At 54.8% G+C, this 16157-nt stretch overlaps 1 protein-coding gene and 1 pseudogene across 2 annotated transcripts in view, besides 2 other annotated features; both read left to right on the top strand.

Moving 5' to 3' along the window:
* Positions 649–1647: an enhancer, noted in NCBI's record as "H3K27ac hESC enhancer chr1:31392155-31393153 (GRCh37/hg19 assembly coordinates)". NCBI's record gives its function as "activates a minimal SCP1, AML or CMV promoter by ChIP-STARR-seq in primed H9 embryonic stem cells {active_cell/tissue: H9 hESC(primed)}" and the evidence as "EXISTENCE:reporter gene assay evidence [ECO:0000049][PMID:30033119]".
* RN7SL371P (RNA, 7SL, cytoplasmic 371, pseudogene) lies at positions 2220–2486 on the top strand (annotated as a pseudogene).
* Positions 11220–16157, top strand: part of SDC3 (syndecan 3) — a 40270-nt gene continuing 35332 nt past the window's right edge. Inside the window, exon 1 of one of the 2 annotated variants that reach the window (XM_011542463.1) lies at positions 11220–11339. In XM_011542463.1, coding sequence (XP_011540765.1) covers positions 11235–11339 — 105 coding nt within the window. In that variant the 5' untranslated portion in view covers positions 11220–11234. Of the gene's footprint in view, positions 11340–12196; positions 12507–16157 lie in introns of those variants that run through there. The other variant, NM_014654.4, reaches the window with a different exon arrangement.
* Positions 12153–12242: a silencer, noted in NCBI's record as "silent region_563". NCBI's record gives its function as "represses an Ori minimal core promoter by ATAC-STARR-seq in GM12878 lymphoblastoid cells {active_cell/tissue: GM12878}" and the evidence as "EXISTENCE:reporter gene assay evidence [ECO:0000049][PMID:35858748]".

The following is a 16157-nucleotide window of genomic DNA, read 5'->3' as shown; positions in this document are numbered from 1 at the left end:
GCTGCCCTTGAGACTCAAAAACTAACATCATAATTTGCTCCAGATGTTAACCTTTGTTTTTCTTTTGTTTTCGTAGAACAAAACCTTGAATTCCCTTCAAGGGATACAATCTGAAGTGAACAATTTGCCTCAATAATACTCCAACGTAGTTCTTGATACCTTCACAGCTTAATAAGGAGGAGCTTGTGTTTTTATTGATTAAGAAATGTTTCGGCCAGTGAGGGAGTGGTGGCTCACGCCTGTAATCCCAATATTTTGGGAGACTGAGGTGGGCGGATCACCTGAAGTCAGGAGTTTGAGACCAGCCTGGCCAACATGGTGAAACCCCGTCTCTACTAAAATATCACAAAAATTAGCCGGGTGCGGTGGTGCATGTCTGTAATCTCAGCTACTTGGGAGACTGAGGCAGGAGAATCACTTGAACCTGGGAGGTGGAGGTTGCAGTGAGCTGAGATCACACCACTGCACTCCAGCCTGGGCGAACAGAGTGAGACTCTGTCTCAAAAAAAAAAAAAAAAAAGTTGCTTTTATGTTAATAAGAAACTGTTGCCCAAAATTTAAAGCTCTTTTTTTTGAGACAGGGTCTTACCCTGTCACCCAGGCTGGAATGCATGCAGTGGTGCGATCATGGCGCACTGCAGCCAGGACCTCCTGAGCTCAAGCCATCCTCCTACCTCAGCCTCCTGAGTAGCTGGGACCACAGGTATGAGCCATCACACCTGGCTAATAAAGGCTCTTAAGAAACAAATACAAGTCTTAGCAGATAGGTGCTACCTCCTTCATTGATATGTTTTAGCTGGTGAAATCTTGGCTCCTGGGAATCTTTGTTCCAGGGCGTTTTTCAGTCCTTGGCTATTATTTTCCTTATAGTTATTCTATTCACCCCCTTTGTGCATTGTATCCTCTCAAGGGTTTTAAATGACACCGTTTCACCCTATAATCCCAGCACTTTGGGAGACTAAGGCCGAAAGATTGCTTGAAGCCAGGAGTTCTCAACCAGCCTGGGCAACAAAGTAAGACCTTGTCTCTACAAAAAAATTTTATTTTAATTAGCCCAGTGCAGTGGCGTGTGCCCGTAGTCCCAGCTACTCAGGAGGCTGAGGTGGGAGGATCATTGAGCCCAGGAATTCAAGGCTGCAGTGAACTATGATGGTGCCACTGCACTCCAGCCTGGGTGACCGAGCAAGACCCAGTCTCTAAAAAATAAGTACATAAATAAATGCTTTCCCGCAGCCACTTGCATATCGAATGATTGCCAGCAGGATTTAACAACCTGGAGAACTGAGCAAGCCCACCACTAGGGCCTATAGTGACTATGCAATTTTGGATACCAATGACCACAAGACCACAGTCCTAACGCAGCTGTTGATGATAGCATCTACATGGCTCTGTTCCAGACTGTGTTAACGGTAGTAACTGAGAATAATGCCATACTCTGGTCACACTCTCAGCTTGCTTTTGAAACTGCCCCTATAAACTTTATAAAATTAATCAGGGAAGAAGAGAGGGGGAATAATGAAAATAAACTGAGCTTGTAGCACGTTCAGCCTTCATTTTGAGGTCAGCTCACTCTCTGACCTGCCTCCTCACAGCTGCTTTTTGCAACCTGTTGACCTAGAATCACGAGACCCTGTTACAGGACGATAGTTCCCCTTAGCTGCTCTGCAGATAACAACTTGAACATTAGGAAGCCTTAAGTTCTCTCTTTGAGCTATTCCTTCAGGTCCTGCATACTGAGGAAACTGCTGACTCAGCTGGTTTGAAGGACCTGACTGGTTTGAAGAGCTGACTCACCAAAAAATGCAGTTTCCATGTCCTGATGATGTCATCCCCCTTACTCAAAACCATCAATGACCCAAGTTTTCTAGCCCCTCACCCTCAACAATCCCCTTAGAAATCCCAGCCCAGAACTCCTCGGAGGGATGGATTTGAGGATCTCCTCGCTTGGTGCCCTGTGATCAGTAAACTCTTTCTGCTTCTGCAAACCCTGCTGTCTCCATGTAATGGGGTCTGTTACTGTGCAGTGGGCAGAGGAACCATAGTCCTGTAATACTTTATTTATTTTTCAGGATGGAGTCTCCTGAGGCTGGGCGTGTTGGCTCACACCTGTAATCTCAGCACTCTGGGAGGCCGAGGCCTTTGGGATCACGAGGTCAGGAGTTCGAGACCAGCCTGGCCGAGATGGTGAAACCCCATCTTTTCTAAAAATACAAAAATTAGCCTGGCGCAGTAGTGGGCGCCTGTAATCCCAGCTACTTGGGAGGCTGAGGCAGGAGAATTGCTTGAACCTAGGAGGCAGAGGTTGCAGTGAGCCGAGATCACACCACTGTACTCTAGCCTGGGTGACAGAGTGAGACTCCGTCTCAAAAAAAAAAAAAAAAAAAAAGAAGATGGAGTCTCCTCTGTTGCCCAGGCTGGAGTGCAATGGTATGATCTTGGCTCACTGTAACCTCTGCCTTCCGGGTTAAAGCGATTCTCCTCCCTCAGCTTCCTGAGTAGATGAAATTACAGGCACGCGCCACCATACCCGGCTAATTTTTTGTGTTTTTAGTAGAGACAAGGTTTCATCATTTTGACCAGGCTGGTCTTGAACTCCTGATATCAGTTGATCCACCCGCCTCGGCCTCCCAAAGTGCTGGGATTACAGGCGTCAGCCATTGTGCCCAGCCCTATAACCCTTTCACTTGTTAAATTAAAATGGAGACCAGGTCTGAAGAATCCCAGAGCAGACAAAACCAGTTAGGCCTCATACATGACCTCAACCTTGCTTGATTTGCAAACATAAGCAAAAATTGAGCTATTTCTTGTAAATGCCTCTATTAAAGAAAAACAGAACTTCAGCTCAACCAGTCAGAAGTAGTCCACAAATTTTTATATAACGGGGGACTTTCTAACGGCATAGACCAAATAAACAACTATATAATTGCAACCAATCAAATAATTTATTTTACTTCTGCGTTTATCCCTTAAATACTTGCCTCTGATGATTTGTCACTGGAACATTAAACCTCTTCTGGTTTGGTGTTTCCCAGTTCATGAATTGCTTTTCACTCAAAGAAGCACTTTAAACTTATCTGTGGGATCTAACAATCAAAACAATTAAACTCAGGAAGATAGAGAACAGAAGGTTGGTTACCAGATGCTGGGAAGGCTAGTGAGGGGGTAGAGGAGAGGAGGTGGGGACGACAGTTAATGGGTGCAACAAAAAAGAAAGGATGATAAGACCTAGTATTTGATAGTACAAAAGGGTGACTATAGTCAATAATAACCTTTTTTTTTTTTTTTGGAGACAGAGTCTCACCCAGGCTGGAGTGCAGTGGCCCGACCTCGGCTCACTACAACCTCTGCCTCTTGGGTTCAAGCAATTCTCTGCCTCAGCCTCCCGAGTAGCTGGGATTACAGGCACCTGTCACCATGCCTGGCTAATTTTTATATTTTTAGTAGAGATGGGGTTTCACCATCTTGGCCAGGCTGGTCTTGAACTCCTGACCTTGTGATCCACCCACCTCAGCCTCCCAAAGTGCTAGGATTACAGGCATGAGCCACCACACCCGGTCCTTTTTTTTTTTTTTTTTTTTTTTTTTTTGAGACAGAGTCTCACTCTGTTGCCCAGGCTGGAGTACAGTGGCACGATCTTGGCTCACTGCAACCTCCGCCTCCCAGGTTCAAGCTATTCTCCTGCCTCAGCCCCCCGTGTAGCTGGGATTACAGGCACACACCACTACCTCCGGCTACTTTTTGTATTTTCAGTAGAGAAGGAGTTTCACTGTGTTGTCCAGGCTGGTCTTGAACTCCTGGGCTCAAGTGATCTGCCCACCTCGGCCTCCCAAAGTGCTGGGATTACAGACGTGAGGCACTGTACCTGGCCTAGTCAACAATAATTTAATCGGCCGGGTGCGGTGGCTCAAGACTGTAATCCCAGCACTTTGGGAGGCTAAGGCGGGTGGATCACCAGGTCAGGAGACTGAGACCAGCCTGGCTAACACGGTGAAACCCCATCTCTACTAAAAATACAAAAAAAAAAAAAAATTAGCCAGGTGTGGTGGTGGGCACCTGTAGTCCCAGCTACTCAGGAGGCTGAGGCAGGAGAATGGCGTGAACCCAGGAGGTGGAGCTTGCAGTGAGCAGAGATCACGCCACTGCACTCCAGCCTGGGCAACAGAGAGAGACTCCGTTTAAAAAAACAAATAAATAAATAAATAAAAATTAAAATTAACATAATAATAATTTAATCATACTTTTAAAAATAACTTAAAGTGTATAATTGGATTACACTTCCTGGTGCTCCTAGATACCAGCATGGGAACATGTCCTTGGGCAGGGCTGGACCAACAACTCCAGGGGCCGAAGCCAACCTGTTCCAGGGTCCTGGCAGCCACCTGCCCCCTCCCTGTGGAACCTCAGACTCTCTCAGTTCCCGTGGGGGAAGGGTGGGGTATCCTCGCCCTCCCACCTCAGGTCTGGGGTGAACCAGACAAAGAATGACTTAAAAGTAGTGGCCTAGGGGCTGGGCATGGTGGCTCATGCCTGTAATCCCAGCACGTTGGGAGGCCGAGGCGGGCGGATCACGAGGTCGGGAGATCGAGACCTTCCTGGCTAACACATGGTGAAACCCCGTCTCTACTAACAATACAAAAAAATTAGCCAGGCGTGGTGGCAGGCGCCTGTAGTCCCAGCTACTCAGGGGGCTGAGGTAGGAGAATGGCGTGAACCCAGGAGGCGGAGCTTGCAGTGAGCCGAGATCACGCCACTGTACTCCAGCCTGGGTGACAGAATGAGATTCTGTCTAAAAAAAAAAAAAAAAAAAAATTAGTGGCATAGGGTTGGGTGTGGTGGCCCACCATAGTTCCAGCTACTCCAGAGGCTGAGGCAGGAGGATCTCTCGATCCCAGGAGATAGAGGCTGCAGTGAGCTGTGATTGTGCCACTGCACTTCAGCCTGGACAACAGAGTGAGACCCTGTCTCTAAAAATAACAACAACAAAAACACAGTGGTCTGCTCCATGTGACTGTGGGCCTTGCCCTATGCTGGGTGCTGTCCTGTGTTGCTTTGTTTGCCTCCCTCCAGCCTTGTGAGCCGTCACTGACCCTAACTTGCATGGGAGGAAAATGGCCCTGGCCACTGGCCTGGAAGTGGCAGACCCAGAATTTGAGCCCCGAGTGCCCCAGGCCTCTCTTTGGAGTCAGTGCTGCCAGGGCAGCTGCTCTTCCCCTCCACCATGGCCAGCGGCAGGACTGTCCGCAGAGAATTCAGGGTGGCTACCCGCATCTGATCCCTTCGCAGATGACGAGACTGAGGCCCAGGGTGGGAGAAGCACCTGCTCAGAGGCACACAGGAGGCGAGGGCAGCACTAAGGTGTCCCCTGGTGCAGTTGCTTGCCTGTTGCCTGCCTCCCATCCTTGGTGGGAGCTCCCTCAGTGTCCAGATCTGTGCCCAGCCCTCGCTGGGGCTCGATACCTCTAGGTTGAAGTTTGAATGTGGGTCCAACAGTCTCGAAAATCCAAAAAACCAAACACACACACAAATGTGATGTACTGCATATCTCAATGACAGCTGTGCTCAGAGAGGGGGACCCAGTGGTCAGTATCCACAGCCCTGGGGAAAGGGGGATCTCCCCCCACAGGCCCCGGTCACTCTCCCCCACCCACCTCCTAGAGGCAGCTGAGCTGCTGCAGCCTCAGAATGAGGTGAGAAAGAAAATATATTTTTAGGGAGGCATATTTTTGGTTCCAGGAAAATGATTCTAAATGAGCAGTTTATTCCCAGGCACGGGGGTGTGTTCCTGGAATGGCTTCTGGGGCAGTGCCCTCCTCCCATCCTCCCCTTTCTCTCTCCTCCCCTCCTCTCTCCTCACCCAGCTTCTCCACCTCTGCACAGAGAAGAGGGCAGGTGTGTGAGCACAGCTCCTGGGCCTGGGCTCTGCCAATGGTCATTTCCTAGTCCTGTGACCTTCGATGGACAGAGTGGGACGGCCTGTGGGTTTGAATGAAGACCTTGGTTGGGGAGGGGGCTTATCCTAAGAGCTCTGTCAAAACAGAGCAGCTGGTCCAGGAGAAGGGAGTGGAAGAGAGAAAGGCCCCAGGGCAAGGAGTGAAGCCACCTGGGTTCTAGTCCCAGCTCTGCCACAGGCTTATTATGTGACCTTGGGGTCAGTCACATTCCGTTTTAAGGCCTCAGTATTCTCTTCTATGAAATGGGCAGTTAAAGTAGGCCCTGCCTGCTCTGTCCATTCTAGATCACAGGGAACAAGCCTCCAGAATGTTCTCAGCCTCGTCCACACACGATGTCAGGATGAAGCCTCAAGCTGGAGCTCAGGGCCTTAGAGGCTCTCCTCCCAGGTAGGGCTCAGCCCCTGTAGGACCATTTCAAAGCACCCAATTCTCCAAGGCCTGCCTGCAATGGCCCAGGGGAGATGTCGCCACCACCACCATGAAGCCTTCCTAGATTCCCTCAGAGAGGAGGTAGCCATTCCCTGCCCAGGCTCCCTCTGTTTTTTCCTTTGTTTTTGTGGGACAAGATCTTGCTCTGTTGCCCAGGGTGGAGTGCAGTGGCATGATCTCAGCTCACTGCAACCTCTGCCTCCCAGGTTCAAGTGGTCCTCCTGCCTCAGCCTCCTGAGTAGCTGAGACCACAGGTGCCCACTACCACAACCGGCTCGTGTTTTTTTTCTTTTGTTTTGTTTTGTTATTTTTTTTTAGAGATGGGGTTTTGCCATGTTGCCCAGGCTGGTCTTGAACTTCTGAGCTCAAGTGATCTGCCCTCCCTAGCCTCCCAACGTGCTACGATTACAGGCGTGAGCCAACGCCCAGCCCAGTCCACCTCTGACTTTGCTGGATTCAGGCGATAGTATCTGGCGGGGTGGTGGGTGGCCATTCAGAGGCACATTTGCCATAAAATGAAGCTGATGCTTCAGGGCCCTTCATTTGCACAGCCGCTTTCCAAAGCCTTCTTCCTAACTGTGTACTCGAGATCCCTTCAAACCGTATAAGCTTCAGACCCTACAGAGGTGGGACCCACCTTGTTTCCACCCCTACCCAGCTTGGAGTCCCAGAGCTCTCCTCTCCCCTCAAGCAGCTCCCCTCCCCGACTGCCAATCTGGGGCTTCTTCAGCCACAGGCCCTGCTGAGTCTACACAGCCTCTTCCCTCCTACAAGGCCAGCCCAGGCCTTGCTCTGTGACCTACAGGCCACAGAGCTCAAACAAAATCTGATTACTCCCCCTCCTCGCACACCAGCCCTGAGGAACCTGGGGATCCACCAGCCCTCAGGAACGCTTTGGGATCTACAGTTTGCAAACCCTCAGCTCACAGACCTGGAAGAGGCCTGAGTTCAAATCCTAACCTGTGTCTAGCAGCCATGTGTCCTGGGGTGTCACCTACCCTCTCACCCTACAAGGACTTTCCCAGCACACAGGGAGGTCAGGGAAGGCTGGCCGAGCCTGGCTCTGTACTAAGGGCGGGGCATGGCTCTGTGAGACCCTCATATGGGCCAGGTCCCTTCGGCGGGCAGGAGGCTCCCCACGATTGAGGACCCCTGTTGTGGGAAGGCCAAGCCTTCTCCCAGTCACCCTGGTCCGGCCACAGGCCTTGCAGATCCTTCCCCAGTGAGATTTCCACTCACTGGGGCACCAGATGGCTTCTGAGTCTCCCCAGCTTCCCCTAGGAGGACTTTGGGATCCTCCTGATCTGGAGCCCTCTTGTCAGAGCCCTGTTTTGGTTCCTCAGTTTTGGGGGTCACTGACCTCCAAGACTGCTGTCACTTGGACTTTCTCAGAAGCAAGCCTGGGCTGTGGCCTCCATCCTGACTCTTGGGCAAGACCGGAAGTTGTGGTGGGAGATGGTTGGGGTGGGGAGGGAGCAGGATGGAGATGGGGGTGGCGAGGGGAGGCCGGGACTTGTTTTGCAAGCCCTGTGATTGCCTTGAGCTGAGACAGCACTTGTGTTTGGGAGGTCTGGTAAGGATCATAAAGTCCCCTCTGCCCACGGGGGACAGCTCAGCACAGGGTGAAAAGCCAGGGCTCTGTCATCACATGCCTGGTTCAAATCCTGGCTGCCCACTTCCTGGCTGGGTGACCTGGGATAAATTATTGAACTCCTGTGAGCCCCAGATTCCCCAGCTGTGAAATGGGACGAAGTAGAGAGCAAGCACCTGGACAGGGCTCACTGTGTGCCGGACTCCAGGGCTGGCCGCTCATTTGGTTCTCATAGTAGCAGCCCTGGGAGGCAAGTTTGCTTGTCGTGCCCAAATTACAGGCCTGTGGGGAGGAGTAGATGAGGGTGTGTTTGGCAAGTGCTCAGAACAGTGCCTGGCAGGTAGTAAGGCCTCCATCAATCTTGGCTTTTAGGATGCCATGGGACTGTTGAGGTCCAGAGAGCTGGTTGTCTTAGCCAATCCCCTGGGGGACAGGTAGAGTCAGGTGACAGCTACTGAGCACCCACTCTGTGTCAGGCCTGGGCGTGCCACTCTGAATAAGGCATCTTAGGCTCACCTGAGTGGAGTTCAGAGATGCCGCTGAGGCGTCCCCACCCCTCTGCTGCTTGGTTAGAGCTAGGAGGCCCTGTCAAGGGCAGAGAAGGCTCTGACTGGGGTGGGGGTGAGGTGGAAAGGTTGAGATGTAGCCACTAGGCGTGCCTTGTGGGGTTCCCCAGGGGCCAGACTGCATGAGTATGTCTGCATGTTGGTGTGTGACTGTGTGAATCCCCTCGGTGACTCTAATTCATTCATCAAACGCCTCCCAATACACCACTGGGCCTGGCATTGCAGTTTAACTGTTGGCCTGGGTCAGGATCTCAGCTCTCACTGCCAGTCGTGGTGCCTCGGCATATCTCCTATCTTCTCTGTGTATTGGTTTTTCATCTGGAAATGGGGCTAATGTGAGTGTGCATTTGATAGAGCAGTGCCTGGCCCATAATCAGCTCCACTTGGGCCCTTCTATAGCTACTGTTCATTTGGGATACTGAATGCTCCCACTTTTGAGCAAGACAGACAGTAGGGACTGAAAGCAGGGTGGGGAGTGCAGGATGAGTGTGATCAGGATGCCGGCAGGACAGGACCAGGCCTGATCACCCAGAGGACATCAGGAAGACTTCCCAGAGGAGGCAGTGTGTATTCTAAAGGCCGGAGGGGGCTGTGACTATTGTGCCAGGAGGCGGCAGCAGCTGGTGCCTGTGGGTGAGGTTATGGTGCTATGAAGGGAGACCCTGAGTATGTGGGGATGTGGCTCCAATGCACAAGGAGGCCTGGGCAAGGGTGACTGTGCAGATGACCCATGTGCTTGAGGGCAGGAAATGTGTGCATCTGTGAACCCCAGGGAGACCTGGGACCCGGGGGGAGCAAGATGAGAAGGACCTTCAGGGGCCCAGACCTGTCTTAGTTCTGGCTGTGACCAGTGTCTTTGAAGAGCAGCAGGTGGCGCTCCTGGCCTGTCCAGACCAAAGATTCTCCACTGCCCCGCCCCCACCTCTTCCCCAGGATGTCAGGGAAGTGGAGTTGCTGCTTCCAGAAGTCTCAGAGCTGGCAGGAACCTCTGAAGATGGGCCATGCTCACTGCCCATCTTACTCATGGAAACCATCCTAATGGTCTCCCTGCTAGATAGTTCTCCGAGCCTTGAATACCTCTCAAGACAGGATACTTACTGCCTCTTAGAATTGCCACTGCTGTCTGTGGCCAGCTGACATCTGGCTCCTCATAATCCCCACCCTAACCCTGCTGGCCCTTTGGGAGCGCCTCAGGGTTGGTATGTTCCTGGGATCTGCTCAGCATCTCTGAAGGATGATGTTATCCCTACATCTGAGTCCCTTCCTTTGTAAGCTTCATTCCCAGCCACCTTCATTGAACTCCATTACGATGGCAGGGAAGAGCTCATGTAATCCTCACAACCTGGTACCTGGCCTGGCACACAGCAGGCACCCAATTTATGCTTGCTAAATGAATGAATGAATGAACTCTGCGTGGTCATTATCTCTATATTACAGTTGGGAAATTGAGGCTCAGAGAGGTTAAGTCACACATCCAACACAATACAGCTCATAACTGGCAGAACTGGGATTTGAACCCAGATACTTGGCCGACCCAGAGCCAGAGCTCTTCAATTCCAAGCTGTGCTACCTCAACAGAAACCAGTTTCCCACCTATTGCACCCCATCAGCCTCCCTGCCCATCTCCCCAAGGTGCCAGTCAAATTTGGATCGAGCATTGATGTCATGCCAAAAGATTTGAGAATTGAATTTTCAGAGGCTGGGACCTCAGAATTCCTAGTTCGAAAGTCTCCCTGTCTTCCCTGTCCAGGATCCCTGTCAAAGGGTGGTGAGCTTGCCTTTCATACCCTTTAGGGACTGGGCTCTCCCTCCCTCCTGGGGAGCCCCTTCTAATTTATCTCTACTTTATGTTGAGTTGACCTTTGTCCCCTGGTCCTCCTCCCAAGGGCCCTGCAGGACAAGTACAGTTACCCCCAACACCAAAAACCCATGGCTGGTCCCCCAGAGTCTCTTCCTCAAGGCCTGCCCCTCCATTCATCCTGGTTTTGGTTCCCCTTTCCTTGAGGGAATTGTTCCAGTTTCAACTCAATTTCGTTCCCCTATTTTCTTTTCTTTTCTTTTTTTTTTTTTTTTTGTTTTTGAGAAGGAGTCTCGCTCTGTCGCCCAGGCTGGAGTGCAGTGGCGCGATCTCGGCTCACTGCAAGCTCCGCCTCCCGGGTTCATGCCATTCTCCTGCCTCACCCTCCTGGTAGCTGGGACTACAGGCGCCCGCCACCACGCCCGGCTAATTTTTTTGTATTGTTAGTAGAGACGGGGTTTCACCATGTTGGCCAGGATCTCCTGACCTCGTGATCCACCCGCCTCGGCCTCCCAACGTGGTGGGATTACAGGCGTGAGCCACCACGACCGGCCTGATTTCATTCCTATTTTCTAATGGCAGGCTCTAAGCTGGGTGCTGGGACACAGGGGCCAGAGAGGAGAGTAACTGAGGGTAGAGACGTCCAGCCAGCTGTCATCAGCAAATAACCTCTTCTTGCTGGCTCTCAGCTTCCCCACCTAAGAAGTGAAGATATTGACAGACCGACCTTATGGGGTTCCTGAGAAATGATATAACACATGAAAGCGCTGGGCACCTGGCATGTGGTCAGGGTTCCAGAAATGTTTCACTCTCCCCTATCTTGCCCCAAAACACTTGGTTTTGAGCCCCAGTAAATGGGAAACACATTCATTGATTCAGCAAATTTGGATTGAGCATCGATGTCATGCCGAGCTCTGTGCTGGTGCTGGGGACATAGCAGTGAACAAGACAGACACAAAACCCTGCCCCCGCTGGAGCTAACACGCCATTGGAGACTTGGAGAAGTAAGAACAGCATGGGGTATGCCGCTGGGGATGAAGGTGAAGGGGGAAAAGGCACCGTGACCACACAGGGTAGAAAGACCACCAGCGCTAGAGACTGCCACTCAGAGATGTACTTTTCTCGCCATCCTGCACTGGAGGGGGTGGTCCCATTCAACCATGGGGGGTCTGAGTCTCAGAGAACTGGGGGCCTTGCTGGAGGCGCACAGCTGGTGTGGAAGCAGCTGCGCTCAGGTCTGCGTGGCTTTTCCTCTGCAGATCCACAGTGACAGGGCCCAGAAGTGACCACCCCCATGGTCCCCTGGGGAGACCGAGGCCCAGAGAGGGCCGGGCCCTGATCTGAGGTCACACAGCCCCTGGGTGTCCTGGAGGCATGAAAGCCCGTGGTCTTGGATGACCTCTGGCCCACTGGGTGGACTGGCTGAGTGTGTGAGGGTGACGATGGGAGTCCAGGAAGAGACACGTGCGTGGAGCCACAGGGGGAGGCTGTAGATGAAAACGCCCATGCGACCCCTCCGCTCGGCGACTTCAGGGAGCCAGGCCCGGGCCCTGGTATCCCACGCGGGACCCTTCCCTTCTACCTAGCACGGCGGCCGCGGAGGTGCGTCCGGCGGGCTCCGCGACCTCCAGCCCCGGGATCGGCGAGGCCGGCTGCTCACTCAGGTGTCCGGGTGCCCACTCGGCAGCGCGGGGCTCCCTCTGGGTGGGGGCGGGGGCTGGGACTGGGGTCAGAGGGCGCGGAGCCCCGCGGGGGGCGCACTGGGGCCCGCCCCGCCCCGGGCCCCTCCTCCGTTCCGCCCGCGCTGGGGGCGGCCCGGCGGCGGCGGCGGCGGCGCACGCTTCCTGCGGGCGCGGCCGCTGTGGGCGCGGAGCTGCGAGGCGGAGCCGGGCGGCCGAGCCGGGAGCCCGCGAGCCTAGAGCGCGTCGGTCCAGCCGCCGGGCCGCGCCGCCGCCAAGCAGCCGCCCCGCGCGCCGCGCCTCGGGAACAAAGGCGCCCGCCCGCCGCCCGCCGCCCGCGCCCGCGCCGCCGCCATGAAGCCGGGGCCGCCGCACCGTGCCGGGGCCGCCCACGGGGCCGGCGCCGGGGCCGGGGCCGCGGCCGGGCCCGGGGCCCGCGGGCTGCTCCTGCCACCGCTGCTGCTGCTGCTGCTGGCGGGGCGCGCCGCGGGGGTGAGTGACACGCGCCCGGATCCCCGCCACGGCTCCCCGGGGCCGCCCCCCGCGCGGGGTGCCGGTCCCCGCCCGCGACCCCCCCTCCGGGACCCCGCTCCCTCCCCCCCGGCTGCTTCCCCCGGGGCCGCGGTCCCTGCCACCCCTCGACCCTCCCCCGAGCGCCCCTTTCTGCACCCTGCTCCCCCCCCTCCGGAATCTCCCCCTAGCTGGCATCCGCGGGGAGAGGCCGCCCCCGCCGCTGGTCATCTTCGGGGGGCGCATCTCTCCTTCCTTTTGGGACCCCTCCCCAGAGGGAATCCCGGGAGGGAACCCGATCGCGGGTCCTCAGCCCTGTTCCCCCACCTCCCAGTGGCTCCGGGAACTGTCTCCCCGGGGACGAAGCGGGACCCCTGCGCTGGCCTGGGAGGCGCGAGAAGGACCCGGCGGCGGGCTGGGGGTCGCCGTCCCGGCTGGGTGTGTCTTGGGGTGGGAGTGAGCCTGGCTTTTGCCTCGTGGGTGTGCCCAGACCATGGCCACTTTTTGGGAATCGGATCGGTTCCCCTTCCGAGGGGAGGGTGTGCATTTGGTTCTTCCCAGGGTCGCGGCAGCCGGCCAGGGCAGTGGGCCCGGGAAGGGGAGGTGGAGGTGGAGGGTGACTTGGTGAAGGTGACCTGAGGGGGGAGTGAGGGTAACCCTGTGTGTGGGCGTGTGTGGGCGTGTGTGGCCAACTCAGTGAGGGGTGCGGGGACCTGTGGGGCGTGTGCAGGTGAAGGATGTGTCTGCCACATGGGTGGATGCCAGCGTGCCCTCCCGTCCGTGGTCGTGGGAGGGTGACCCATTGTGCATGATGTGTGCCTGTGCCTGGCTGGGCCACTGTTGGCTATGGCCGTGTGTGGCTGCAGTGGGTGAGGGTGTGTGTGTGAAAGACCTCTGGTGGGCGTGTGCTTGGACCCATGAATGTGTGTGAGTGCACATAGCAGCGTGTGCATGCAGGTGCATGGGGGACCCTGGACATAGGACGAGGACCCCTGAGGGGAACCAAGCATGTGCAGGTGGAGGTGATGGTATGTATGAGGTGACCCTTGAGTGTCCCTTTGAGTGACCGTAGCAGCCATGCTTGGTCCCAGCTCCGTCAGGGATGGCAGAGAAAGGAAGGACCTCATCCCCCTTTGAGGGATCCAGGCCCCAGATGAGTTCTTGTTGGACAAGTGTCCAGGTTCTGGCTCAGGCGGGCTGGGGATTTCTAGGTCCAGCCTCCCAGGTTGGTTCCAGGAGCTATGCTGTCCTGCATCCCCCAGGCTGAAAAGGACCCAGGCCTCTCAAGCAACACTGGGTGCCCAGCCGCCCTCTGCAAGTTCCTTCCCTTTCCCAGCCTCAGTGGGCCAGTCAGTAAGACAGGAGGAGGACAGGCAGGGGCTCCAAGCTTGCTTCTTGGATGGACAGGCCCCTCCTCAGCCTTCCCCATCTAGGGGGCTGTCAGCTGGAGGGAGGGGAAGTGTTGAGGGCTGACCTGTGTGAAGTGCCTGCTGGCCAGGATGTCTCATTCCCAGCTCTCCCCTAAGTGGGGTGAGAGGAAGAGGTCCCTGGGAGGGATAGAGACCCAGCACACCCTAGCAGCTGGGGTCGCCTTCTCAGCCAAATTTCTGAAAGACCATCCTTAAAATCAAAGGCTTGGGAATCACACAACCCTGGGTTCCAATCCTGCTACCCCCGCCGATTCGTGGCATGGTTTGGGCAGGTCCTCTTACTTCTCTGACCCTTGGTTGTCCCTCTGTGAAATGGGGCTAATGACCCCTTCCTCAGAGGGCAAAAATTCAATGGGATGACTGACGAGTGTCCTGAGAAGGAGCTCAGGAGTCATGTGGTGTGCACATGAATGAAAGGGGCTCAGGACAGAAAGCTTTAGACTTGGAGGCCAGGTGGAGCGCTGGGCAGGCCACTTTCCTTGCTGAATAAGGCTAATAATTCATACTCCACGAGGTGGTGGAAGGACTTAGTGAGAGCATTTAATAGCCTCATGCACAGTAGGGCCTCGCAACACGGGTGACCTGAATCTGAGAGGTGTGGCTCAGACCCAGTGTTGGGTGGCAGATCAAGCAGACCCTGGGAGTCTGAGCCCAGAGGCTGAAATGGTGGGTGGGGCCTGGGGGAGGGCAGGTACTGGGGCGCCTGGTGAGGTGGTGGGAAGTGGAGTGTCCTCCAGGCCTCACATCTTCCCATGGGTCAAGCTGTCAAGGAGGGGCATCATCCCTCTTGTCCTCATCTGACTTGGGAGGAAAAGGGTTAATGGGTGGTACCTGGTTGCCGGGGTTCCGCACCAGAGGGAGAGGGCAGTGCCTGCAGCAGGAGGGACTGAGGTTAGATCAGAAGAGCCCCAGCCAGGGAAGCTCCAGGGGTGGCCTTGGTAGATGAGCGGTGGCTGGCACAGGGCAGGGAAGGGCAGGGACATGATGACCCTTGGGTCACCTGCCAGCCTTTGTGTGTGTGTGTGTGTGTGTGTGTGTGTCTTCGTGTCTTTCAGCATGGGGATAGCAGGGAGAGCAGGCCTCATTCACACTGCAGATGGTGAATTGCAGTGTGTGTGTGTGTGTGTGTTTGTGTGTCTGTGTCTGTCTCCTGGCATCTCCTTTGAGGAGTCCCTCTTCTGACAGACCAAGTTACCAGGACTCTGAGGGACATCTGCCTTTAAGGCCACCTCAGCTACTGTACTTAAGTCACCACTCAAAGTTTTGGAGTGTGAGGATCCTGAACATTTTAGCTTTTGAAACATGTTCTTTCAAAAGTCCAGGGCTGGAAGGGATCTTAGGTGTTAGTCTTGTTTGAATACTCCCAGTGATGGGAGACCACTACCTTGTGGCTGTGTGACCTTGTGAAAGTTACCTAACCTCTCTGTGCCTTAGTTTCCACCTCTTTAAAATGGAGACAATGCGAGAATGGAAGGGCTTAATTTGGAAAGCTTTTAGCCCAGTGGCTGGCACCTACTAAGGGCTCAACAAATATGGATTTCTTGTTCTTTTACAAAGTTGCTGTACTGTGGTTGGGAAGGCAGGAGGGGTGGGGAGTGGAAGGGTGGGAGACGTGTGTGTGTGTGTGTGTGTGTGTGTGTGTGTTTGTGAGAGAGAGAGAGTACGGATGGGGGTGGGGGTGGGGGTGGGGTGGGGTGGGGGAATTAGTAGGGAATTCTTTTGAAGCTCAGCCCCAGGCCTGGTGGTTTCCGTTCCTTCCTCACCCTGTTTCAAGCATCCCTGCTCTTCTCCCCTCCAGGCTCCCCTGGGTGACTGTGAGCCTTGGGTTTCCAGGATGAGATAGTCCTCACCAAAAAAATGGAAAGTTGGGGGCCCCTGGGCTGTTCTGGGCCAGGCTCTTGGGTGAACCATCTCCCCTTCCAGCATTTGGGGGACAGGCACAGGGACACCACAGCTGTATGCTGCCTGTTAGCTCCCAAGGTACCAGGGGCTCTGGGGACAGACACCTGCTGTGTGATTTCCAGTGAGGGATTTCTTTCTGTCTCAAAGTCCTTGTCTATAAAATGCGGACAGTAATGGTGTCAGCCTCACAGGGATGTTGTGACTTGGAAATGAGCTGCTTGAGTAGACCGAGCACACCTGCCACGTAGTGAGCTCTCAGGAGATGGGACCTTTCTGGGAGGGAGCATGGATGGGGTCAGGG

This window comes from Homo sapiens, chromosome 1, assembly GCF_000001405.40.
Source record: "Homo sapiens chromosome 1, GRCh38.p14 Primary Assembly".
NCBI lineage: Eukaryota > Metazoa > Chordata > Mammalia > Primates > Hominidae > Homo > Homo sapiens.
The sequence above is the reverse complement of the archived record's forward strand: the minus strand, read 5'-3'. Positions and strand labels throughout refer to the sequence as shown.